This window comes from Homo sapiens, chromosome 6 (assembly GCF_000001405.40).
Source record: "Homo sapiens chromosome 6, GRCh38.p14 Primary Assembly".
Taxonomy (NCBI): domain Eukaryota; kingdom Metazoa; phylum Chordata; class Mammalia; order Primates; family Hominidae; genus Homo; species Homo sapiens.
In genome coordinates this window covers 131135814-131160639 of record NC_000006.12, presented here as the reverse complement: position 1 = coordinate 131160639, position 24826 = coordinate 131135814, and the positions used below count along the sequence as shown (strand labels likewise).

Sequence of the window (24826 nt, the reverse complement as noted above, 5' to 3'; positions counted from 1 at the left end):
ATTTCTCTCTACTTCCAAAAGTTCCCTCAGATAAAATGAACAAACACTTGCAAATGACCTTGACATGCCATCTGGCAACACTTTTTCAAGTGGATTTTGCAAAATTACCGTTTAAATATGATTGTCTAAATATTTTTGGAGGCTGAGGTGGAAAGACTGCTTGAGTCCAGGAGTTCAAAGCTGCAGTGAGCTATGACTGTGCCACTGCACTCCAGCCTGGGTGCCAGAGCAAGACCCTGTCTCAGAAAAACAAATGATATTTTCCAAACCTGTTGTTTAAATACATTTCTATTACTTAAACAGAAATATTCCCTGGACAGTCCTGCTAAAATGCCACCAAATACTCTTAAAAGCTAAGAGCAAGTGGGCTAATAAGCATTTAGTTGTACTTTAAATTTAGAATAAAATTTCACAGTAAAAATAACTTTTTAAAAATAGCACCTCTTTGTTGGTGATTGGAATGGACAGGAAATAGTTGGGTTGATAATCTTTTCTCTTTTTTTTCCTCTTCTTTACTTGATCACTCTTGACCCATTCATTTTCTTGACTTCTCTTCAAATTTATTTGAGGTTCATCAGTGACTAGAGGAAAAAAGTCAAACAATACGTCTAATACATTTAAACAAAGATAATACAGTCAGAAAAAAAAACAAGCAATATATAAGTAGCAATCATTCATCAGTGTCATTTTCAAATCTAAAGCAGGAGTTTGCAAACATTTCTGTAAAGGACCTCATAGTAAATAGTTTAGGCATTGCAGATGACATAGTCTCTGCCGTTAACTACTCAACTCTGCTGTAGACAAAACATAAATGAGTGGGTACAGTTGTGTTCCTGCTTTATTTTCAAAGCAGGGTGGTTAACCAGATTTGGCCTGAGGGCCATAGTGAGCTGACTCATGATCTGAAGCACAGCTCCCGGCACCACAATGTTCATAACACTAAGAAAGATCATTTCTTCAACCATCCTGTATAGGTATGTTTGTAACTTCTAGGGTATAACCCTACTGCCACACAAAGTTTTGGTCTGGGGCCACTGTCACACTATAAACTATTTGTTGCAAAAATTAAGAGAATGCTTTGGAAACTTCCATAGCAATGGGGCAGAATAATTTGGTCTGCTGAATTTTGATTCCTACTTTGTAGGTCTTTTCTTTTATTTCATTTTCTAATAATTTCATTTTTATTGTATTTTACAAAAGTATCCATTGGCAACAAACAGGAAATTTTTTTTTAAAAACTGATCCTTGGCCAGGCTCGGTGGCTCACGCCTGTAATCCCAGCACTTTGGGAGGCCGAGGCGGGCGAATCACGAGGTCAGGAGATCAAGACCATCCTGGCTAACACGGTGAAACCTCGTCTCTACTAAAAATATAAAAAATTAGCTGGGTGTGCTGGCGGGCACCTGTAGTCCCAGCTCCTCAGGAGGCTGAGGCAGGAGAATGGCATGAACCCAGGAGGCAGAGCTTGGAGTGAGCCGAGATGGCGCCACTGCAGTCCAGCCTGGGCGACATAGGGAGACTCCGTCTCAAAAATAAAAAATAAAAAATAAAATAAAATAAACTGATCCTTAACAAAAGGTCATCTGAGAAGCGTTTACAATACCACTTTTTAAAGTAATCCTTGTAAGACTCATTTACAACATCTAACAATTCTAATTACAAAGCATGCTCCCAGAAATAATTACTAAATCTGTGTGAAATGCCATCATCTTTTTTTTTTTTTTAACAGATTCTATCAGGGCTTCCATATGCACGCAAAACTACAATCCATTAATTGAGCTTCCAAGCCATGTCTTCTTGAATAGTAGTTTACTGTTCAAAATACAGTTCCCCTGCAGGGCATGGTGGCTCACACCTGTAATCCCAGCACTTTGGGAGGCTGAAGCAGGAAGACCACTTGAGGTCAGGAGTGTGAGACCAGCCTGGGCAATAAGGTGAAACCCCATCTCCTCTAAAAATACAAAAATTAGACAGGCATGGTAGCACAAGCCTGTAGTCTCAGCTACTTGGGAGGATGAGGCACAAAATCGCTTGAACCCAGGAGGCTGAGGTTGCAGTTACCCAAGACGATGCCACTGCACTCCAGCCTGGACAATGGAGTGAGACTGTCTCCAAAAAACAAAACAAAACAAAACAAAATAGAGTACCTCACAGAGACTTTGTGAAAATTCAGATATATTTTCTGAGGTGTTATTTTGAAAAAGGAAGGAAAGAACCACTTTACCTTACATTCAATCCTATTCGGTTGGTTTCATCTTTGGGATCACCTCTAATAGACCACAGTAACTGCCTGCACACAATGCCTTAAGAAGGATTGTGAAAAGAAGTCTGGGCTCAACCCACAGCCCAATGCCTGTGTGCATATGCAACCCTGCTTTAACTGAATCCCTTATTTTACACGATAAAACAGAAAAGCAGAAAAACTTTGCTACTGTATCAAATTGCTTCTCTACTGAAGTTCTGCACAACTAGTTAACATTACACATAAAACCACAGAGCAAAAATAATTCTTATTCTGTTTCTCTTTGAGATATTAATAGTAAACAATTTTAAGTTAATGCCTCAAATAGTATTTTAATGCTAATTTCTAAGAAAAATAGTACAGCGTGTTTAAAATTAAAAAGCTAAGAGTGTGTAGAAATAGATATGTTTTCTTTCCACAACATATATTTGTAAGACCTACAAAATGGGGTAAACTAAGAGCAAGGTGGCCTCGGCAATATATCTGACCATATCATTATGAATTAAGGCAAACTTATCTGGTGTGTTCGTGCATCTATTTCATCACTATATCTCTCAACAATATGTCTAATGATTAATGTGGCTAATGATAGCTCTTCATGATTAGAGGATACACGTTTAAAATATAAATTATTATTAGCTTCTTTTACACACCTAACCTTATCAGAACTTTACAGATTTTATTACTAAGAAATAGTTTGTAGCATTTTTATCTGTGTTATAAGAATTATGTGAATTGTCTCATTCATGATGCCATTGGGTTTTATTTCTTACGTAAGAGTTTTAATACAGCAAATCAAATGAATATATCACTGGGCTGCCTGCAATTTTACACATCTAAGAAAAGGTCCTACATCTAACTGCAGTAATATGAATATACTAATTTTAAACAGAAGTAACAAAATATGCTAATGAAGAACACATATATTTTAAATCCACTTCTAAATACACTTCTAGCCCACCACCACCTACTGTTAATAAATTAGTACTCTGAAAATGAAAGCCAATTTTAATATAGTTGGAACCAGAGCACCTGGGTTAGAATCCTGGCTCTCCCACATACTAGCTGTGTGACTGTGTGATTTTAGATGAGCACATAAACTCTCTTTATTCAGTTTCCCTGTGTAATTTTAGAATAATAATAATAGCTACTTCATAGGATCTTTTTGAGGATTGAGTCAGTTAATACATAAAAACATTTAGACCACTTCCTGGTACAAAGTAAACACTATTATTAGCTATTATAATTATTAGATAATACTCAGAACTAAACATAATTAGGAAGATAAATCTGTATCTGCTAAAGAACATTTAGTAAACTCCAGGCTGGGTGTGGTGGCTCATGCCTGTAATCCCAGCACTTTGGGAGGCTGAGGCGGGCGGATCACGAGGTCAGGAGATCAAGACCACCCTGGCTAACACGGTGAAACCCCGTCTCTACTAAAAATACAAAAAAATTAGCCAGGCGTGGTGGCGACCGCCTGTAGTCCCAGCTACTCGGGAAGCTGAGGCAGGAGAATGGCGTGAACCCGGGAGGCGGAGCTTGCAGGGAGCCGAAATTGCACCACTGCACACTCCAGCCTGGGTGACAGAGTGAGACTCCATCTCAAAAAAAAAAAAGGAAACTCCAAAAAGAAACAGATGATTTATAAACTCTCCATTGTTTTTACTCATCTAGACCACTTGCACCTTCTATGAGTATGGAAAATGAAAAGCTGCCCTGAACAGTTCTTTTTTTGTTATTTTTTTGTTTTGTTTTGCGATAGGATCTCACTCTGTCACCCAGGCTGGAGTGCAGTGATGCAATCATAGCTCACTGTAACCTCGAACTCCTGGGGCTCAAATGATCCTCCCACCTCAGCCTCTCCAAGTAGCTGGGACTACAGGTATGCACCACCACAGCTCATTAATTTTTCATTTTTTGTAGAGGTGGGGGTCTCACTATGTTGCCCAGGCTGGTCTTGAACTCCTGGGCTCAAGCAATCCTCCCACCTTAGCCTCCTAACATGCTGGCATTACAGGCATGAGCTACCACACCCATCCCTGAACAGTTTTTTAAATTAAATATAATGTTGAAAAATAAATTTCAAAAGCAAGACCCCCTTTTTTTAAGGTAAAATTACAAATCAATTCTAAATAAGTTCCTAGCATCCATCCCCTTATATTTCATTGTCCAAATCACCACACAGGGCTAACCCCAAGCAACACAGGATGCTGGGATGGTGAATCTGGCAGCTATCAACCTGTACTGTACTGGGAAAAAAATACAAAAGATAGAAGGGAAAACAGCAGTTGAGAAAATGACTAGTACTGTGTGTTTCAATTTATAGAGGCAGCACTGGATAGTGAAAAGGCCAATGACCTGAAGACTAGATTTCCAACAAGCATCTTTTAATTAAGTAACTTAATAGGTTTATCTGAGAACTTAAAAATCTTACTAATCCTTGGAGAAAGAGCTGATTCCAGGTCTGGAGCATACAATGTATGAGAGTTCTGGAAATTCAAAGACTCCTAGGGTCATATGAGAAGATCTCTAAATTCAATTTAAATGTCTTCTCATTGGCCAAAGATGGGACAATTTGGGCACCAAATAGAATAAACTTCAGTGGTGTTAAATACATCAAATATGCTTAAATCCATCCATTCTTAATGATACTAAAAAAAATTAAAGCCAAAAACTCACAGGTCACCTTTGGAGGAATCTAGAGAAACACGATTCTAAATATCTGATGATAACAGAAAAAAGTCAAGCATTTATTCCATCTTTCCTTATAACCAAATAGTCATATAGGAAATTAAATAGCTAGCTAAGGTAAAGTTCTTTATAGAAATTTCAAGCTAATTAATGCAAAAAGATAGTTAGAATATCACCATTTCAAAATGCTTAACAAAGTAAGAGATCAACCCAATGACCATCAATGGATGATCCATTAGATGGAAGGCTGATGGGGAACTTTAATAATAGATACTTTAGAGTAATAAGACCTGAAGCCACTGATCAATCTTAAAGTTGCAAAAAGGCAAGACAAGCAAACATTATTTGCCTACTGATATCACACTATAGGAAATTCAAAATACTATCTTTGGCCAGGCACAGTGGCTCATGCCTGTAATCTTAGCACTTTGTGAGACCTAGGTGGGAGGACCACTAAAGGCAAGGAATTTAAAACCAGGCTGGGCAACACAGCAAGACCCCATCTCTACAAAAAATTTAGAAATTAACCAGGCATTGTGGTATGCACCTATAATCCCAGCTACTTGAGGTGGAAGAATCACTTGAGCCCAGGAGTTCGAGGTTACGGTGAGCTATGATCATGCCACTGTACTCCAGTGTGGATGACAGGGTGAGGCCCTGTCTCTCAGAAAGAAAAAAAAAAAATACTATCTTTGGAACATTCTTACAAATGTCAGAAACTTAATTAAGCCTCTTGATCTAACTACCAGTTTACTAGAAGAGACAGAAAAAAATTTTAAATAACCAGAATAGCAAAACTTCTACACAACCTGATTTCTTCAACAATAAACACACACATACACATACCCAAAAGGAAAAAAGGAGATTTATACATGAAAAGAGACTCAAGAGATGTGTCAGTGAAATATAGTGCATAGATTTTGGTAACTAATTCAAATAATCCAGATTTTTTAAAATTATGACATAATCAGAGATTGTCTTGCTATTTGATGACATTAAGAATTACCAGTATTTTTTGGTATAGTAAGGATATTTTGAATTTTTTCTTAAAGATTCTTTACCTTTTAAAGAAATATACTAAAGTATTTACAGATAAAGTAATATGTCTGGGATCTACCTCAAAATAATCCAGTAAAGAAGAGGTAATGAATACATGAGGCTTCTTTTCCTATTTTCTCTAATATATGCTTCAAAGTTTCTACAATGCAACATTAAAAAAAAAAAAAAAAAAAAAACAGGGACAGGGAGGAACGTTTAGACAATCTCTCTCTAGGGGGTCTCTTCCAGTTCTAGCTTTCTGTGATTTGTGGTAAAGGTACTAACTGTTAACACTTGTACTAATTACGACAATTTGCGGTGATATTAAATAATGGATTCAAGATTGAGACTCATAAACCTACCGTCTAGGTTATTTTTTTCCCAAATTGCAAGCATCAACCCATTAGTGGGTTATGAAATCAACTTAGAAGATGATAAAGAACACTTTTTTTTTTCTGAGGCAGAGTTTTGCTCTTGTTGCCCAGGCTGGAGTGCAATGGAGCGATCTCTGCTCACTGCAACCTCTGCCTCCCAAGTTCAAGTGATTCTCCTGCCTCAGCCTCCCGAGTAACTGGAATTACAGGTGCCCACCATGCCCAGCTAATTTTTTGTATTTTTAGTAGAGACAGGTTTTCACCATATTGGCCAGGATGGTCTCGAACTCCTTACCTCAGGTGATCCACGTTCCTCGGTCTCCCAAAGTGCTGGGATTACAGGTGTGAGCCACCACATCTGGCCAATAAAGAGCACTTTTTAAAGAATGGAATGGAATGAGACAGAAGTCATGTAGATAGTATATTGCTCACAGTTAGTATAAGTATTGTTTTATGAAATTTTTATTTCCATTTTTTGCATACACTGTTTATTGGGTGGCCATGTATAGTACATTCTTTACTGTGAAGATAAGATATATAATCATTTTTTCTGTATTTTACTCACACTCCAATATGAACAATACTAAAAAGGGGGACAGAATTAACACAGTATTTCAAAGACCACTGACACTACGTTGTTTTCTACCTTACCTATTTAACACTACCTTATCTATTTAATACTAAACTGTCTTCCCATCTGTAGCAACTTATTTTTGCCATTTCAAACATCCTATAAATCCATTTTGCAAAAAAAAAAATCATAATCTCTCAAGGTAATGGTTATAACATATAACAACTCTAACCATTCTGCTATCAGGAGAATGACATAGTGTAAAACCCCAACCCAGAATACTTTCAGGCAAAAATAAAGTAGGACATGGTTTGTCTAAATTTATTTAGTTTTCTATAATTTTACCAATAACTATTTAACTTTCCTTTGAACTGGATAATCTAAAATTTTCTTTTGTTAGGCATCACAGACAGTGTGTAGTTTTAAAATACCTAATGACAGATGGGGAAAAAAGGAATCCTGTATTTATTGCTACAGTACAGTTTTACCAACCCTTGTAATACACTTTTCTTAATTCCGTGAGCCCTGCTGATTTATCATACACTTGATACACATTGAGCCCAATCTCTCTCTCTCTTTTTTTTTTTTTTTGAGATGGAGTCTTGCTCTGTCGTCCAGGCTGGAGTGCACTGGCGCAATCTCGGCTCACTGCAAGCTCCACCTCCTGGGTTCACGCCATTCTCCTGCCTCAGCCTCCCGAGTAGCTAGGACTACAGGCACACGCCACCATGCCCAGCTAATTTTTTTTGTATTTTTAGTAGAGACGGGGTTTCACCGTGTTAGCCAGGATGGTCTCAATCTCCTGACCTCGTGATCCACCCGCCCTGGCCTCCCAAAGTGCTGGGATTACCGGCGTGAGCCAGCGCGCCCGGACTTTTTTTTTTTTTTTTTTTTGAGATGGAGTCTTGCTTTGTTGCCCAGGCTGCAGTGCAGTGGTGCAATCTCAGCTCACTGCAACCTCCACCTCCCAGGTTCAAGCGATTCTCATGTTTCAGCCTCCCAAACAGCTGGGACTACAAGCATGTACCACCTTGCCCAGCTAATCTTTGTATTTTTAGTAGACATGGGGTTTCGCATGTTGGCCAGGCTGGTCTCCAACTCCTGACCTCAAGTGATCCGCCCTCCTCGGCCTCCCAAAGTGCTGAGATTACAGGCGTGAGCCACCACGCCCGGCCCCAATATTTCTTCTCTCTTGTTTGCATACCATCTCTGATTTTATCTGTAAAGTTTATTTATATATGGTCAAAGTATAAAATCCGTGTGCTTTTCATTACTGAACTCCATTTTATTTCTCACTTTGAAATTATAATGTAGGTTCTAAAATACAACTGGATATTATTCTTTATTTTTAGTTTCATATGAAAATATAAGGAACAAAATATTTATGTAATCATCTAGTTTACCAATTAGAATTTCAAAAATCAATGACCATAGAACAAAATGTAGAAAAATTTGGCCACAGGCCCAGGACCTCTCAACTGATTATTTAGAGTAACTTCATTGGTTAGCAAAAAAGTCATCAGTTGGAGTACAGCTCATAAACCCATCTTACAAATTTAATTTATTCCACTTGTTAATTTTCATAATGATTTCAGTAGCCATTTTAATGTGTAGTAATGAATCTGGTCTTGCTGACAAAGGCTGTAACTCTCTGATTCGTGTATTTGTTTTTTTAACTGAAGCACCACGTGTAATTTTATGTAAATTATCTAATTTTTTCTCAAGTTCTATTTATTCCCTCAAAAACTACAAAGAAATGAATGATGAGAAAAATTAAGTCATCCATCCGTTATAGTGGGTTCACTGTTTTCACACTTACTCTTAGCTAAAAGGCTGAGAATGAATTAGATTTGTTTTGATATTTTATTTTTTCTTGTTATTTAGGCAGCTAAAATCTTCAAAGTAACCATTCCTAAAATTCCTTAGCTATTGACTTAGAACACTATCTTCTATATTTCATAGGATATTTTTTTTGAGACTGAGTTTCACTCTTGTTGTCCAGGCTAGAGTACAATGGCACAATCTTGACTCACTGCAACCTCCATTACCTAGGTTCAAGCGATTCTCCTGCCTCAGCCTCCTGAGTAGCTGGGATTACAGGCACATGCCACCACACTCGGCTAATTTTTTGTATTTTTAGTAGAGATAGGGTTTCACCATGTTGGCCAGGCTGGTCTCAAACCCCTCACCTCAGGTGATCCACCCGCCTCAGCCTCCCAAAGTGCTGGGATTACAGGCGTGAGCCACCACACCCGGCCATATATTTCACAGAATTATTCCCCTTTAGTATCTCAATAATCTTTGGCAAATTACTAAAATTTTCTTAAAAAAAAAAAAAACCTTACCTTCTCCCTCTTTAAGTTTCTATGAGGATTATGTGCTGGGTGCAGTGGCTCATGCTTGTAATCCCAGCACTTTGGGAGGCTGAGGCAGGTGGATCACTTGAGCCCACGAGTTTGAAACCAGCCTGACCAACATGATGAAACCCTGTCTCTACTAAAAATACAAAAATTAGCTGAGTGTGGTGGTGGGCACCTGTAATCCCAGCTACTCGGGAGGCTGAGGCAGAAGAATTGCTTGAACCCAGGAGGCAGAGGTTGCAGTGGGCTGAGATCACACCACTACACTCCAGCCTGGGTGACAGCACCAGACTACATCTCAAAAAACAAAAAAAAAATTCTAAGAGGATTATGTGAGAAAATGTAAAGCATTTAGCAATGTGCTGGAGGAGCTCAATATTATTATTATAAAATATTTCTCTTAAAGGGAAATGTTTTATAAATAATTTAGCAAATATATGTAAGAAAAAACCTGGTGAAACTAAATTAATGAAAATGTACTGAGGCTAGTTACGTTTTAAGGACTTCACATGTATTGAGGAATTGAATCTTTCCAACAATCCTGTGAGACAGCTACCATTATTATGCCAATGTCAATGTCATCGATAATGAATGAACTTGAGCCTGGAAAAAGTACACACTAGCTGAACTAACTGTCCTCAGCTCAGCACCAATAACAGTACCTGGTACATAACACACTCAATAAATATGTGTTGTATTAATTTAGTGATTGGGCTTGTTCCAATTTTTATTCATTTTCTTATTTTTTTAACAAAATAAAAGATATTAATCATTTATGTTATTTGGGGCAGATATTTGCCTTAACCTCTTTCATAATAACATTTGGAATATGCAGTATATGCTTCCCCAATTAATTATAGAGGATGCAGAAAACAATTTATCTTTTATTTTCTTAACTGACTCAGGGTAACCACCTACTATATCAAGTACAAAGATTCGATCTTTATTTGATATAGCATTTTTGTATAAAAAAGTTTTAGGTGAAGGTAAGTTTCAATTTATATTTTAAGATGTTTAAAATCTAAGTATTTTTTAAATGTAACAACTTGTTAGGATTAATAAGTAGCAAAATTACGATTTCCCATATCTCCAAAATCTTCAGTTATTACAGAGTAGAATTCTGTGTGAGGTAAAATAAGAATTATAAGCATTTTACTATAAGGAGAACTGAATTCCACATTTAGGGAAGACATGACACACAAAAAAAAGAAAATCAAAAGATTTTATTTAAATGTGGCTTAAGACCAGGCATAGTGGTGCATACCTGTTTTCCCAGCTACTCAAGAGACTGAGGTGGGCGGATCACTGGAGCCCAGGAGTTTGAGACTAGCCTAGGCAACATAGTGAGATCCCATCCCTAAATAAATTCGATAAATGTGGCCTGATAGTTAAGAACTGTGATTCCTTTAAGAGACTAGAATCAATTAAACTAAAACTCTCCACAAAGTCACACTGTGGGAAGCATACTAAGCTATTCCCAACAGCAGAATGACTCTCCATTCTACTTTTGAATGCAGAACAGTAGCAACCCAAATGCTTTCCTGGATGGTTTACTGGGTTTATAATCAACTGACCCACAACATTTCCCTTGTAAACAGCAAAGACCCCATCCAAGTCAACCAGGCACTAAGCTGGATTTTCTCCTAAAACGTGTCCACCCTATGGAGCCAAAGGTGTGGCACAGGTTGTACTGTCTCCTCATCATTTCTTTTTTGTTTTGTTTCTTGAGACAGAGTCTGGCTGTGTTGCCCAGGCTGGAGTGCAGTGGCGCAATCTCGGCTCACTGCAACCTCTGCCTACCAGATTCAAGCAATCCTCCGGCCTCGGCCTCCCTAGTAGCTGGGCTTACAGGTACGTGCCACCATGCCCCGCTAATTTTTGTATTTTTAGTAGAGACGGGATTTCACCATGTTGGCCAGGCTGGTTTCAAACTCCTGACCTCAAAAGATCCGCCCAACTCGGCCTCCCGAAGTGCTGGGATTACAGGTGTGAGCCATGGCACCCAGCCTCCCCATCATTTCTAAAAGATTTCCATTGTACATGCATTTGGATATTTTACTTCTAATATACTTTTATATTCTCATATTTAGTTCTAATGCATGTTATCTTCTAATTTTTAGTTATAACATTCTAAACTATAACCCTAATAAAAGTCTCTACATGTTTTGGTTAGTTTTGAAGAAAAGACCCATCTCACCCAACCAGACCACATGCTGCCTAATCAAGATACCACATTCGCACTGAAGGCAACGCAGCTGACAATCGAGAGACACTAACCGTTTCAAGGGGAGTTTTCCTACTGCCAAGGATTCCCCTTCCCATGATGTTTTTGTTAGCACTACTTTCCTCATTGCTCTGCCAGGGTGTCTATTAGCAAGAATTTCTTGGCAGTTAACTCGCAATTTCCACACGTCAAAGAAAACTGAAGGAATCATAGGCAACAAACAACCTGAGAATTTTGAGGTTGCCATCTACCATGGAGCAAATGAGTAGACTGATTACTAAATGTACAAGAAAGCCAAATTCAGTCCATTCAAGCCACAAACTAATTATATTGTGTTTCAGGCACAAACACTATTATTATACCTTTCTTACGGTTTAAGGGTTGGCAATAAAACTCCCAGTTTTTGTACATTCCTATAAAAATCTCACTTCAGAAAAACTAGTTAGTAGTTTCTGGTTTGCAAAGAATTGTACTATTTGTTCCTTAGTGTTTTAGTAAATGCTATTATAAAACTGAGAGAGTAAGTTGTCCCCAAATAACTAAGGGGTACGTTTCAAAGGTTTTATAAATAACATTTATTCGTTATTTTACATTTTTAGCTTCTTTCTTGCATACATTATCTCTTTTTAGCCAGAAAGCAACACTATGAGATAAACGGGGGGGGGAATTTTTATCCACACTTTAAGTGTCAAAGGTCCAAGTAGATAATGAAGTAACCAAAACGTAAAACACAAGTTTTCTGTTTTTCCCTTTGCACCACGCTGCCCATGTATAAGTTGGAGCCTGGAATTTTCAATCCATCTTCCCACAAAAGTCATATAATACATGGTGGTTTGCAGTCTAGACTAACCCACAAAGACTTTTAACTCATAAAGCCTGAATTATCAAAAAGCGTATATATTAGTTAAAAGTAGACTTTTGTGGACTGGCCTGAGCCCCTAGTATACATAGATAACATCACTTCTTTGGTAAAAAATATATCATATCCTAGAGAGAAAAGATCCTGTTCATATGAAGAACTGGCCATCCCTCCAATGCACATCCTCTGAGGAAACAGCTGTTGCTTTCAGAGCAGGAATGAAATGCATGCCACAAACACATCCAGCCCCTTCCTTCTTTCTGGTCCCAATGGCTGTTAATCTCCCTAACAGTAGAGATATAAGAATATGGTGACTACAGAAACACTATTTGCTCTCTGGGATTCTGGCAGTATCTTGCTTTCCATCGCTAGTAGAAGCTATGTGTTCATATACATTAGATATATGTAAGCTATGTATAAATCAGAAGTGCCTGCAGCTGGAAGAATGAACAGACTCATCCCTTGTTCCAATCTAACTTATGCACTCCAATGGGAGTGATTCAGAGACTGGAACAAGGCTCACAGGGAGAACGCGGGTGAGTGAGGCCCATGGTGGGCACACAGGGCATGGCTATTCATGAGAAGCCTTCTTTATTTATATCCAAATTAGAGAAAGTAATGAAATCAGAAAGAAGTGATTGAATTTTTTAAACATATTCATTTTATTTGTTCAACAAGTAGGATATTAAGAGGAAAACATTAAATCCTTGCTATTCTCACTTTTTTCTAAGAGTATCTTCTAATTAACAGGTATGAAAATTCTTCAGTGAAGGTTTCCCCAACAGCCGTGAAACTCACAAACATGGTTCTGCTCTACGGGGCAGTTGTAAAGGAAAATATAGGAAACACCTCTTCCTGATTCCTTCTCCCCCTTGGATTATGGAATGGGAAAGACTGCTTAATAAAATACCAAAGACTTAATCGTTTTAAGTTCACATCTTCCCAAAATACAAGTCAGGTTCACTGCCTCCAGAAGACAGTGTGATAAAGAGTAGTGTGGTTTCTGAGACTGGCTGAGCATCAGAATTACTTGAGATGTTTAAAAAAATTTTTAAACAAAAAGATTCCCTGGCAGGATGCAAAGGTTGAAAAAGAAGAATCTGTGCTTTTACATCACTCTGCAGAAAATTCTGATGGTCAGATAATTTCAAGAGCACTGAATAGTTCATACTCATCCTCCAAGCCTCTACTCTTGCCAAACACCTAGAAAGGCTTCATGGACACCCTCTCCTCCCACACCCAGGTTAGATGCCTCCCTGAACACATCCTCACGTCATGCACTTCCAGAGCAGCCTGTATGGCATTCATCTTATGAGATGATAGCTGTCAACAGATTGGCTCCCCAATGAAGCTGGGAGCTTCTTGACGTTCAAGACTGTTGTGTGTTTTAATATTCCCAATGTCCAGCACAATGCCTGGCTATAAATGTTCATCAAAGAAATGACTAACAAATCAGAAACCAGATTCTACAACTAGTTCTTTCCCACCGTGTGAATTTAATTTACTTAACTTCTCTAAGTCAGTTTTCTTTTCTCAAAATGAAGAGACTAAAGCAGATGATTTGTTATGCCACAGAGCCCTAGTCATGAAAAAAGCATATCAAACCACAGCAAGGCTTTACGTAAGGTTGCAAACAGTTGAATGGCGCAGAGTATGTAGTCAATAAACATCCAAACATATTGACGCTTTTCCTTATTTTCCTCCCCACAAGTAACCTGGACAATAGTCAAATCTTTAACATTTTCAGTGAAGGTAAACCCAAATATCATGGACAGTGTTGTTTTTACAATGACATAAAACAGATTTTTTTTTAATTTATTTATTTTACTAAAATAGAGATGGGGGTCTCCCTATGTTGACCAGGCTGGTCTCAAACTCCTGGCCTCAAGTTATCCTCCCGTCTCAGCCTCCCAAAGTGTTAAGAACACAGGCATGAGCCACCGCATCTGGCCAAAACACAGATTTGGATATTTATGTAATTCCAGCAGTATTTCAATCAAGTAAGCATTGTTGCTTTAAAGTTTGTGAATGAAGCTCTCAAAGACTGAATTGATCCAATACATGAACATTTAATTAAAAGTTGACCTGTTCTCACTATTAACCTGTTGAGCTCCTTTGGGGCAGTGATAATGCCCATCTTGTTCACTGATGGACCCTCTCAATGCCTAGCAAAGTGCTTAGAGGATACCAAACAGCTAGTAAACATGTGTTAGATAAATGGGTACTGCTGAAATTAGCAGTGGCTCCACAATAATCAAGGGCATTATCTATCCCATTATTTTCAGAAGTAGCTGGCTCAACATTTTGTGACACACGTCAATATTATCTGTGATTATTTTATCACAGATATTATTATATATGAATATAACATTATTATTATTATACCAATAGATATAGACAACTATTAAATAAAAAACAAGACTTGGCGCGGCACGATCATTCACATCTGTAATCCCAGCACTTTTGGAGGCCAAGGCAGGAGGATGGCTTGAGCCCAGGAGTTTGAGACCAGCCTGGGCAACATGGCAAGACCCCACCTCTACAAAGAAAAATAAAAATGTAGCCACATATGGTGCCACACATGCCTGTGGTCCCAGCTACCTCCCACCAGGAAGCTGAGGTGGGAGGATTACTTAAGACTGGCAGGTCAAGGCTGCAGTGAACTGTGATCACACCACTCCAGCCTAGATGACAGAGCAAGACTGTGTCTCAAAAAACTAGAATAAATGAAATGAAATCAAAATTAAAACTCAAAAACATAAGTATTAAAAGTGAAACAACTTATAAAGAAAAAAATATATATATAACTAAATTTACTACTCATTGCTTCTAAATACGCGTTTACTTAATAAAGTACTTACTTCCACAGTCATCCTGAATATCTACAGTAGCAAATGGCATGTCTACCAGAGAATCCATAGTATTGGCTTCAAATTCCTCTGACATTTTCTTTTTTCTTGATACATTTTCACACTCATTGGAATTAATTCCTCCTTTAACATATCACAAACAGAAAAAAAAGGATTATTTAACTTGTCATTATTTAAACATATCCTAAATGAAAATAACTCAGCTCACTGATTTCAATATAAATTAACATCTGTTAAGAAATGTACTACTTGTGTTCAAATATATCATAAAGCTATTTATATAAACATTTATACCACACTCTATATTTTTGTACACTTATAAAGCTTTAATCATTTTCTAAAACACAGTATTCAATGTATGATTAGATGAAAACTGAGTCAATCAATAATCCTCAAGATCTTTTACAGCTATATTTTAATTCTAAAACTACGTTTTTTCACGTACCTTTTAAAACAACCAGCAAGGTTTGTCAGTCATTCTCATTCTTATTTTTAGCAATATCACTTATGTGTTCTTATTTGTACAAGTTCTGGCCTATAATTTTTTCTTCAATAAAGACTTTTAAGTTGTTTCTCTCCATCATTATATTTAACACTGGATATTTAGTTAAAAATACATGGTTCTAAATATGCTTTTCTGAAAATTCAATTATTAAAAAGCAAATGATCTTACAGTTTCCCTAACTCCTCTCCCATGGTGATATACTAACTTTAAAGCCATATTTCCTATTTGGTCTTTTTTTGTTTTCTTGCTATGGGTAGAACAATCATATACCTTGGGTGGAGGTAAGAGAAAGAAGGTGTATGTTTAAATTGATAAAGTTAATTGCTAAATTTATCAGATGGTGGTCTCCCCAGTGCCATTATAACCCATGCCTTTATTGACAGACACAAATGCTGTCCGAACTAATAAGATTGAACAGAATCCTGGAATACTAATATAATTTTTACTCTACATATTTACTAAAGACTAATTTACCACTCAAGATGTTTAAGAAGTCCTTTAATTCATTCTCTTGTAATACTCTATTTTCAGATACAATACCTGTAAAACATAGTCCATTAAGAATATGGCTACACTGGGAAGTGAGGAGCCCCTCTGCCCCGCCACGACCCCGTCTGGGAGGTGTGCCCAGCGGCTCATTGGGGATGGGCCATGATGACAATGGCGGTTTTGTGGAATAGAAAGGCGGGAAGGGTGGGGAAAAAATTGAGAAATCGGATGGTTGCCGGGTCTGTGTGGATAGAAGTAGACATGGGAGACTTTTCATTTTGTTCTGTACTAAGAAAAATTCTTCTGCCTTGGGATCCTGTTGATCTGTGACCTTATCCCCAACCCTGTGCTCTCTGAAACATGTGCTGTGTCCACTCAGGGTTAAATGGATTAAGGGCGGTGCAAGATGTGCTTTGTTAAACAGATGCTTGAAGGCAGCATGCTCGTTAAGAGTCATCACCACTCCCTAATCTTAAGTACCCAGGGACACAAACACTTCGGAAGGCCGCAGGGTCCTCTGCCTAGGAAAACCAGAGACCTTTGTTCACTTGTTTATCTGCTGACCTTCCCTCCACTATTGTCCTATGACCCTGCCAAATCCCCCTCTGCGAGAAACACCCAAGAATGATCAATAAAAAAATAAAAAATAAAAAATAAAAAATAAAAAAAAAAAAAGAATATGGCTACAACATGGCTATGATGATAGGCCACAGTTAACATACAAGCCAAAAAACACACATTTTTACTGCAATTTGATTAATCTCTACTATTGTTCACACACACACACCCCTGTTGTATTAGTCCATTCGCATTGCTATAAAGGAATACCTGAGGCTGGGTAATTTCCAAACAAAAGAGGTTTATTTGGCTCCCAGTTCTGCAGGCTGCACACAAAGCACAGTGCCAGCATCTGCTTTGGTGAGAGCCTCAAGAAGCTTAAAATCATGGTGCAAGGCAAAGGGAAGCCAACATGTCACACGTCAAGAAAAACAGCAAGACAGAGAGGCAGAGATGCCAGCCTCTTTTAAGCAACCAGATCTCACATGAACTCATTACTGCAGGGAGGGCACGAAGGCATTCATGAGAGATCTGCCCCCATGACCCAAACACCTCCCACCAAGCCCTATCTCCAACATTGGGGATTACATCTCAACACGGGATTTGGAGGAGACAAACATAAAAACTATTATCATTCTGCCCCTGGCCACCTAAATCTCACTGCAAAATATAATCATCTCTTCCCAATAGTCCCCCAAGGTCAACTCGTTCCAGCATTAACTCAAAAGTCCAAAGTCTCATTTGAGACTCAAGGTAAGTTTCTTCCACCTATGAGCCTGTAAAATCAAAAAGAAGTTATTCAGCTCCAAGATACAAAGGTGGTACAGGTATTGTGTAAACACTCCCATTCCAAAAGAGAGAAATCCAAAAGAAAGGGGCAACAGGCTCCACATAAGTCCAAAACCTAGCAGGGGAGACAATAAACCTTAAAGCTCCAAAGCTCTCCTTCAACTCCATGTCCCACATCCAGGGCACACTGGAGCAAGACATGGGCTCCCAAAGCCTTAGGCAGTTCTGTCCCTATGGATTTGCAAGGTGAAGCCCCTGTGGCTGCTCTCACAGGATGGAATTGAATGTCTGCAGCTTTTCCAAGCTCAGGGTGTAAGCTGCCAGTGGCTGTATCATTCTTGGGTCTGGAAGGTGGCAGCCCCCTTCCCACAGCTCCACTAGGCAGTGCCCTGGTGGAGACTCTGGGTGGGGGCTCCAATCCCACATTTCCCCCCAGCATTGCCCTAGGAGAGTTTCTCTGTGAGGGCTCCACTGCTGCAGCAGGCTTCTGCCTGAGCACCCAGGCTTTCTGGTACATCATCTGAAATCTAGGTGGAAGCTGCCATGCCTCCTTCACTCTTGCATTTATTCTGTGCACCTGCAGGCTTAACATCACATGGAAGCCCCCAAGGCTTACAGTGGCTTGTGCTCTCCAAAGTGACCAGAGCTGTCGCTGGGGCCTTTTGAGCCACAGCTGGAGGTGGAGAAACTGAGATGTGGGGAGCAGTGTCCCCAGGCTGCACATGGCAGCATGCCCCTGGGCTTGTCCCCTAAAACCATTCTAGGCCTCCAGGTCTGTGATCGGAGAAGCTGCCCTGGAGATTTCTGAAATCCCTTCAAGGCCTTTTTCCCATTGTCTTGGCTATTAGGAATTGCCTCCATTTTAGTCATGCTAATCTCTCTAGCAAGTGGTTCCTTCACAGCCCACTTCAATTCCTCTCCTGAAAATGCTTTTTGCTTCTTTACCACAAGCCTAAGCTGCAAATTTTCCAAATTTTTGTGCTCTGCTTCCCTTTTAATTATAAGGAAAGCAACTTTAAGTCATTCCTTTGCTTCCATATCTGATTGTAGGTCATCAGAAGCTGCCATGCCACTTCTTGAATGCTTTGCTGCTCAAAAATTTCTTCCCACTGCACTCCACCCTGGGTGACAGAGTGAGACCCTGTTGCAAAAAAAAAAAAAAAAAAAGAAAGAAAGAAAGAAATTTCTTCTATCAGATACTCTAAGTCATCACTTCTAAGTTCAAACTTCCACAGATCCCTAGGGCATGGACACAAGGCAGCCAAATTCTTTGCTAGGGCATAACATAGAGACGTTAACTGCAGTTCCCAATAACTTCCTCATATCCATCTCCAACCTTGTCAGATGGGCCTTCACTGTCCATATTTCTATCAGCATTTTGGTCACAACCACTTAACCAGTCTTTAAGAAGTTCCAAACCTTCCCTCATCTTCCTGTCTTCTTCTGAGCCCTCCAAACTCTTCTAACCCCTGCCCATTACCCAGTTCCAAAGCCACTTCCACCTTTTCAGGTATCTTTACAGCAACACCCTGCTCTTTAGTACCAATTTTCTATCTCAGTCCATTTGCATTGCTGTAAAGGAATACCTGAGGCTGGGTAATTACTAAAGAAAAGTTTATTTGGCCCAGAGTTCTGCAGGCTTTACACAAAGCATATTACCAGCATCTGCTTCTGGTGAAGGCCTCAGGAAGCTTATAATCATAGTGGAAGGCAAAGGGAAGCCAATGTGTTACATGGTGAGAAAAGGACCATGACAGAGAGGTGGAGGTGGCAGCCTCTCTTAATCAACTAGATCTCTTCTGAACTCATTATCACAGGGAGGGCACCAAGCCATTCATGAGGGATCCACCCCATGACCCAAACACCTCCCACCAAGCCCCACCTCCAACACTGGGGATAACATCTCAGCATGAGATTTGAAGGGACAAATATCCAAACTATATTACTATATTCTGGATAAAAGCAAAAAACAACAAAGCCTTTTTTAATTAATTAAGTTCAATGCCAAAAAACCCTAATAGTACATTCTTAATAATGTTACTATTTATATTACAGTTCAAATTTTAGGAATTATGAATGCCTCATACACAGGTGTTCAACAACTGTCAGTTCACTATGAGTCTATTCATAAACTTGCAAATATGTGAAAAATGCGAGAACAAGTTAAATGCCTCTTTTCTATTTTTATGCTTGTGTTTTAAAAACACAAATGCAGCTTAGGCTTAAATAAAAGTTTTCATAGATGAATACACATCCTGTACCTTTGGGCACATGCAGCTACACATAAAGGATCACCACTGACCATGTATGTTACACTTGAAAAGCTAGTAATAAAACATGCAACTAAATAGAAACAAGGCTGAATGAAAATCAGAACAAAATGAAATAAACCCAACCATTGTTTTTCCTCTATTTTATTCTCAATCTAAGAATTTAGTGATAAAAAATTGACCTATTTAACACCGTCATCTCACTACTAGCTTCCAAGTTCTTGTGCTACTTGGAAATACAGATTCTTAGCAATAAGTGAGGGAGAGGAAACTTAATTTTGGGCTTCAACACATTTTGAAGGCAAAAGAAAGAATACAATGATGAATTAAATTAAGTCAATTTTTAAATAAGAAAAGTTCGCAAAATCGCTTAACTTTTGGTTTCTCCTGAGCTCAATTAATCACCAACAATTAGAGAGCAAGTGCTATGGACTTCATTCTGGCTATACCAAAGAGAGAATCACACGGTAACAATGGTAATAATAGTAACTGCACATTAGAATCACCTGCAGAGCTTTAAAAAAAAAAAATCACTAGAACGCATGTGTGTCACTCCAGCCAATTAAATCAGAATCTCTGGAGATTAGGCCAACCTCTGGTATTTTTTTAAACCTCTGCAGAGTAATTCCGATGTGCAAGAGTGGTTTTCCAATTGAAAACCACTGCTCCAGAAGATCCCCTTTCACTTCTTCTATACCTTGACCTCACACCAGACTAAGAGATTGTGTGAACAGTTAAGAACAATCAACTTCAAAGTAAAACCTTAGATCAGACCTCTACCGTCAGGGAAAACCTTGCAGATCGCCAGCTCAGGGCTGAGTTAGGTAATCCAATCTTCTAGGCACCTAGTGCTTCCTCCAATCACTGCATGTATACTTTATGTTATACATGTCCGTTTATCTGTCTTATCCATTAGATTCTAAGGTAAAGTGACCATACAATTCACCAAACCAGGACACTTTTGAAAGTGAAAGGGACAACTTCCTATAACTGCACTCCATCATGTGTCGTCACCATAGTCGAAGTTCCTTAAAAGCCTTGTCTTATTCTCCTTTGATTCCTCCATGCCTAGCACTGAGTTCAGCTCACAATAGGTGCTCAATAAATTTTTACTGAATGAATAAATGTGATAAAGGTAAGTCCACATTTGAGAGTGGTTAGTAAGTCACTAGTAGCTAGTGTAGATAGCTACAATGCAATACAGCTATCTCACTGCCCATGAAAAATAATTCCTGGTATTTAGTGGCAGCCTCAGCACAACACAGATTCTCTCATTTTCACCAGATGAATAAAGGAAAAGTACTAGTATCCCATTTGACATGAAAATAAAAATTAAAGCATAATATAACTTGTTCAACATCATTCTTTACCTTGCTAAATAAAGCATATTAAACTCAAATGCAATGTTACATCAAAATCCACAGGAGTCTAGAACTTGAAATACAAACAACTATCTTCTCTTAAGCTATAGAATAATAGGAATTATTAACTCAACAATTTTTGAGATAGGAATTATTAACTCAAAAAAAAGGAGTGCCACTTTCAAATAAGTCTTGAAAGAACTGCTGGTCATTCTATAGAACAATGTTTCTCAAACCAAATATTTAGAACACTTCCTCCAGTTCTCTAAGCTCTAGTGTTTGGGCAAAGGTTGGTAGATGTGAATTAAATACACCAGTCATAACTACACTTTCTCTTATAGAAGGTATAAATATTTTGCTTTTGGAAAACTGCCTTAAAATAACCAACTCTTAAAGCATTTAAACTCTTTTAAGTTCATTGGGTTGAGTACTTAAAAGTCTCCTACAATTTGTTCTAACCATAGTTAAAATTCTATCTTTTGTATAAATCCAAATAAAAGTTATGCTTCCAAATGCATTAATAACATAAAGATGAGGTGAAGCTGGTAAACTATTAATATGTCTGTTACTACTACTAACAACAGCTAACATTTAAGTGCATGCTTGAAGCCAGGCACAGCTGGAAGCACTGGGAGGAACTCATTTAATCCACACAACCACACTATGGAGAGGTACTATTATGATGCTCATTTTACAAACTAACTGATTAAATAAGTACTTGCTCAAGGGTAAAACTAGTGGGTCTTGGGGCTGGAACTGGAATCCAGTCACTCTATTACCATTATGCCCTTTCTGGCACCACACACTGCCACCTTATTATACACTGACTATAGCAATGTAAACGGAGGCAATCCTTTCAGAAAGCAATCTGGCAATAGACCAGAAGCCACAGAAATATTCTTCCGATGTTCTTCTTACTGCTCTCTGGTTATCTATCATCCATGCTCAAAGATTCACCACAGCTTTATTTAAACAAAAAAGGAAAAGTGGAACAAAACTTAAATGCCTAATAACAAGGAAATGGTACAATAGCCAAGATTTGGAAGCAATTTAAGTGTTGGATAACTAAGGTTATCCAATGGAAAAAGGAAATATGGTACATATATACAATGGAGTACTATTCAGCCATACAAAAGAATAAGATCCTGTCATTTGCAACATGGATGGAACTGGAGATCCTTATGTTAAGTGAAATAAGCCAGGCATAGAAAAACAAACTTTCTATGTTCTCACTTATTTGTGGGAACTAAAATTAAAACATTTGAACTCATGGAGATAGAGAATAGAAGAATGGTTACCAGAGGCTGGGGAGGGTGGTGGAACGGGTGGGGGGAACATGGATGGTGACTGGGTACAATGAAATAGAAACAATGAAAAAAATAGGGAAACAGTTAAACGAAGCATGCTCGCGACAATGACAACTACGAACAATGACTATGAAGAATGCAATGACAGAAAAAAGCTAACAACAAATGCCAAGTTTTTAGAAAGGAGATATAAAATTGCATATGCTCTATGATTTACAATTATGTGGCCAAAGGCTAAACAGTATAAACTGCTTGTAAATGCTGACAACTATATTGAATATATTCATGTTTCTCATTTCTGCTATTCAAACGTTTCAAAATTGAATATTACCTAAGAAAAACAATACATACATTTTAAGTATATTATAAAACCATACCTTTAAATATATGCAAATATTCAAATACAGGTGAAGCAAATGCCTTCATCAAAAACAGGCCAACAGGGTGGGCCGGGTGAGGTGGCTCACACCTGTAATCCCAGCACTTTGGGAGGCCGAGGCAGGTAGATCACGAAGTCAGGAGATAGAGACCATCCTCACTAACACGGTGAAACCCCATCTCTACTAAAAATACAAAAAATTAGCCGGGCGTGGTGGCACACACCTATAGTCCCAGCTACTCGGGAGGCTGAGGCAGGGGAATCGCTTGAAGCTGGGAGGCGGAGGTTGCAGTGAGCCGAGATTGTGCCACTGCACTCCAGCCTGGGCGACAGAGCGAGACTCTTGCCTCTAAAAAAAAAAAAAAGAGAGAGAAAAGGGTATGGAGAGTTCTCCCACTGTCACACAAAATGCAGGTTTCCTAACTGGATAATAAATGACTACTCAATTTTGTGAAGTAAGTCTCTCATCACTCTACTAGGTAAATAGTAAATTTATCCCAGCTGAGCAAGTTGGCTCACACGTGTAATCCCAGCACTCAGAGAAGGACTGCTTGAGCCCAGGAGTTCAAGCCTTGGTGACATGGCAAGACCCCGTCTCTACAAAAAAAAAAATACAAAAATTAGTCAGGCATGTTGGCACAGACCTGTAGTCCCCGCTACTTGGGGAGGCTGAAACAGGAGGTTGGCATGATCCCAGCCGATCTAGGCTGCAGTGAGCCATGATCGCGCCAGTGCACTTCCACCTGAGCCAACAGAGGAAGACCCTGTCTCTAAATACATATATACATATATACATACATACATAAGTACATACATAAATAAGTTTATTCCTAAGAACAACTGGAAAGGGCTAAGGGCATCCATTCTAGTCCTGGCTTAGCTACTAAAAATAGTATTAGCATCTTACACGTTAGTAAATGTTGACAGCTGCGTAGAAATCAACAAGTTACTTGACCTCCAGGCTTTCCTTTCCTCCTCATAAAAAGGGAACAAAAGTAAAATCCAAATTATTAGGGAGAAATGGACAAAACAAGTTAATAGTGTCCGAAAATGGATGAAAGGAGGAAGTAACCTCCACAAACATCTTAAACTTTATGAGTAAGGAAAATATACAGATATGCTAACAGGATCCTGAATTGCAAAGCCACGGCACTTAAACAAGGAACTGGAGTATGGCTCTTTTCTCCTTAACAATTTCCATTCCCATGCATTTCCTAAATGCAAAAACTCACTGTCATCATTCACTTAACAATTGTCAACATATTCACACGATTAACTGCTATTTATATAGTACACTTTAACGTTTTTATGCTTTTTATACTCTTCTATGAGTTTATCCTATGAAACTCTTGCAGAGGAGCACCTTTTCTCTAATTGGTTTGCGGACCCTTTTACCGAAAGTCCACCCCTAACTCGCTCTATCACAAAGTTCAGTTCACAACAAACGCTGACCTAAACTGGAAATTCATTCCGGGCGCTAGTGTAGACTTGGCGCCAGTTTTAAAAGCGGTCATGTCCAAACCTGGCAGAAAATCCTAAATGAGACAGTATGGTGGTTCGGGTGCTTAATATTTGTGATATAAGATAAAATCGAAATTTTACTAGGTTTTGTTTACATTTACCCACATCAACACCGTCGGAAGGAATGTGTACTGGCATGAACTTTGTGCAAAGGGTCACAGGATGAGAAAGGGAGAAAGAAAAGTGAAACTCGGGGATGGGCTCATACCCCCGCCTCCTGTCGGACCCACAATGCGTGCATTAAAACGCTTCGCTACAGGCAGCACTGATGTACACCCCGGTTGCACCGGGCTTCTCGGTGCTACCCTGAGTCCTTTTGGGAAGGAGGGAGACTCGGAGAAGGGCCGGCGCGGGTCAGGCCCTCCCAAAGTTCGAGCGCAGAGCAGGCCCAGGCCCCCGCGGCTCCTGTCGCCCC

The 24826-nt window shown here is 38.9% G+C and overlaps 1 protein-coding gene across 24 annotated transcripts in view, besides 4 other annotated features; it reads right to left on the bottom strand.

The window, feature by feature from the left end:
• Positions 1-24826, bottom strand: part of AKAP7 (A-kinase anchoring protein 7) — a 157906-nt gene that overhangs the window by 122893 nt on the left and 10187 nt on the right. For 17 of the 24 annotated variants that reach the window (NR_170717.1, NR_164834.1, NR_170716.1 and 14 more), the window contains exons 2-3: positions 15224-15355; positions 442-581 (exon numbers count right to left, since the gene is read on the bottom strand). Coding sequence is in view for 16 of the 24 variants with exons in the window: in XM_017011509.2 (XP_016866998.1) it covers positions 442-581; positions 15224-15355 (272 nt within the window). In the remaining 8 variants the exon portion in view is untranslated. Of the gene's footprint in view, positions 1-441; positions 582-6643; positions 6686-15223; positions 15356-22888; positions 23489-23797; positions 24771-24826 lie in introns of those variants that run through there. The other 7 variants (NR_164833.1, NR_164832.1, NM_001387863.1 and 4 more) reach the window with 7 other exon arrangements.
• Positions 16542-17265: an enhancer, noted in NCBI's record as "NANOG-H3K27ac hESC enhancer chr6:131464515-131465238 (GRCh37/hg19 assembly coordinates)". NCBI's record gives its function as "activates a minimal SCP1, AML or CMV promoter by ChIP-STARR-seq in primed H9 embryonic stem cells {active_cell/tissue: H9 hESC(primed)}" and the evidence as "EXISTENCE:reporter gene assay evidence [ECO:0000049][PMID:30033119]".
• Positions 17989-18712: an enhancer, noted in NCBI's record as "NANOG-H3K27ac hESC enhancer chr6:131463068-131463791 (GRCh37/hg19 assembly coordinates)". NCBI's record gives its function as "activates a minimal SCP1, AML or CMV promoter by ChIP-STARR-seq in naive H9 embryonic stem cells {active_cell/tissue: H9 hESC(naive)}" and the evidence as "EXISTENCE:reporter gene assay evidence [ECO:0000049][PMID:30033119]".
• Positions 20435-20936: an enhancer, noted in NCBI's record as "NANOG hESC enhancer chr6:131460844-131461345 (GRCh37/hg19 assembly coordinates)". NCBI's record gives its function as "activates a minimal SCP1, AML or CMV promoter by ChIP-STARR-seq in primed H9 embryonic stem cells {active_cell/tissue: H9 hESC(primed)}" and the evidence as "EXISTENCE:reporter gene assay evidence [ECO:0000049][PMID:30033119]".
• Positions 24546-24605: an enhancer, noted in NCBI's record as "active region_25063". NCBI's record gives its function as "activates an Ori minimal core promoter by ATAC-STARR-seq in GM12878 lymphoblastoid cells {active_cell/tissue: GM12878}" and the evidence as "EXISTENCE:reporter gene assay evidence [ECO:0000049][PMID:35858748]".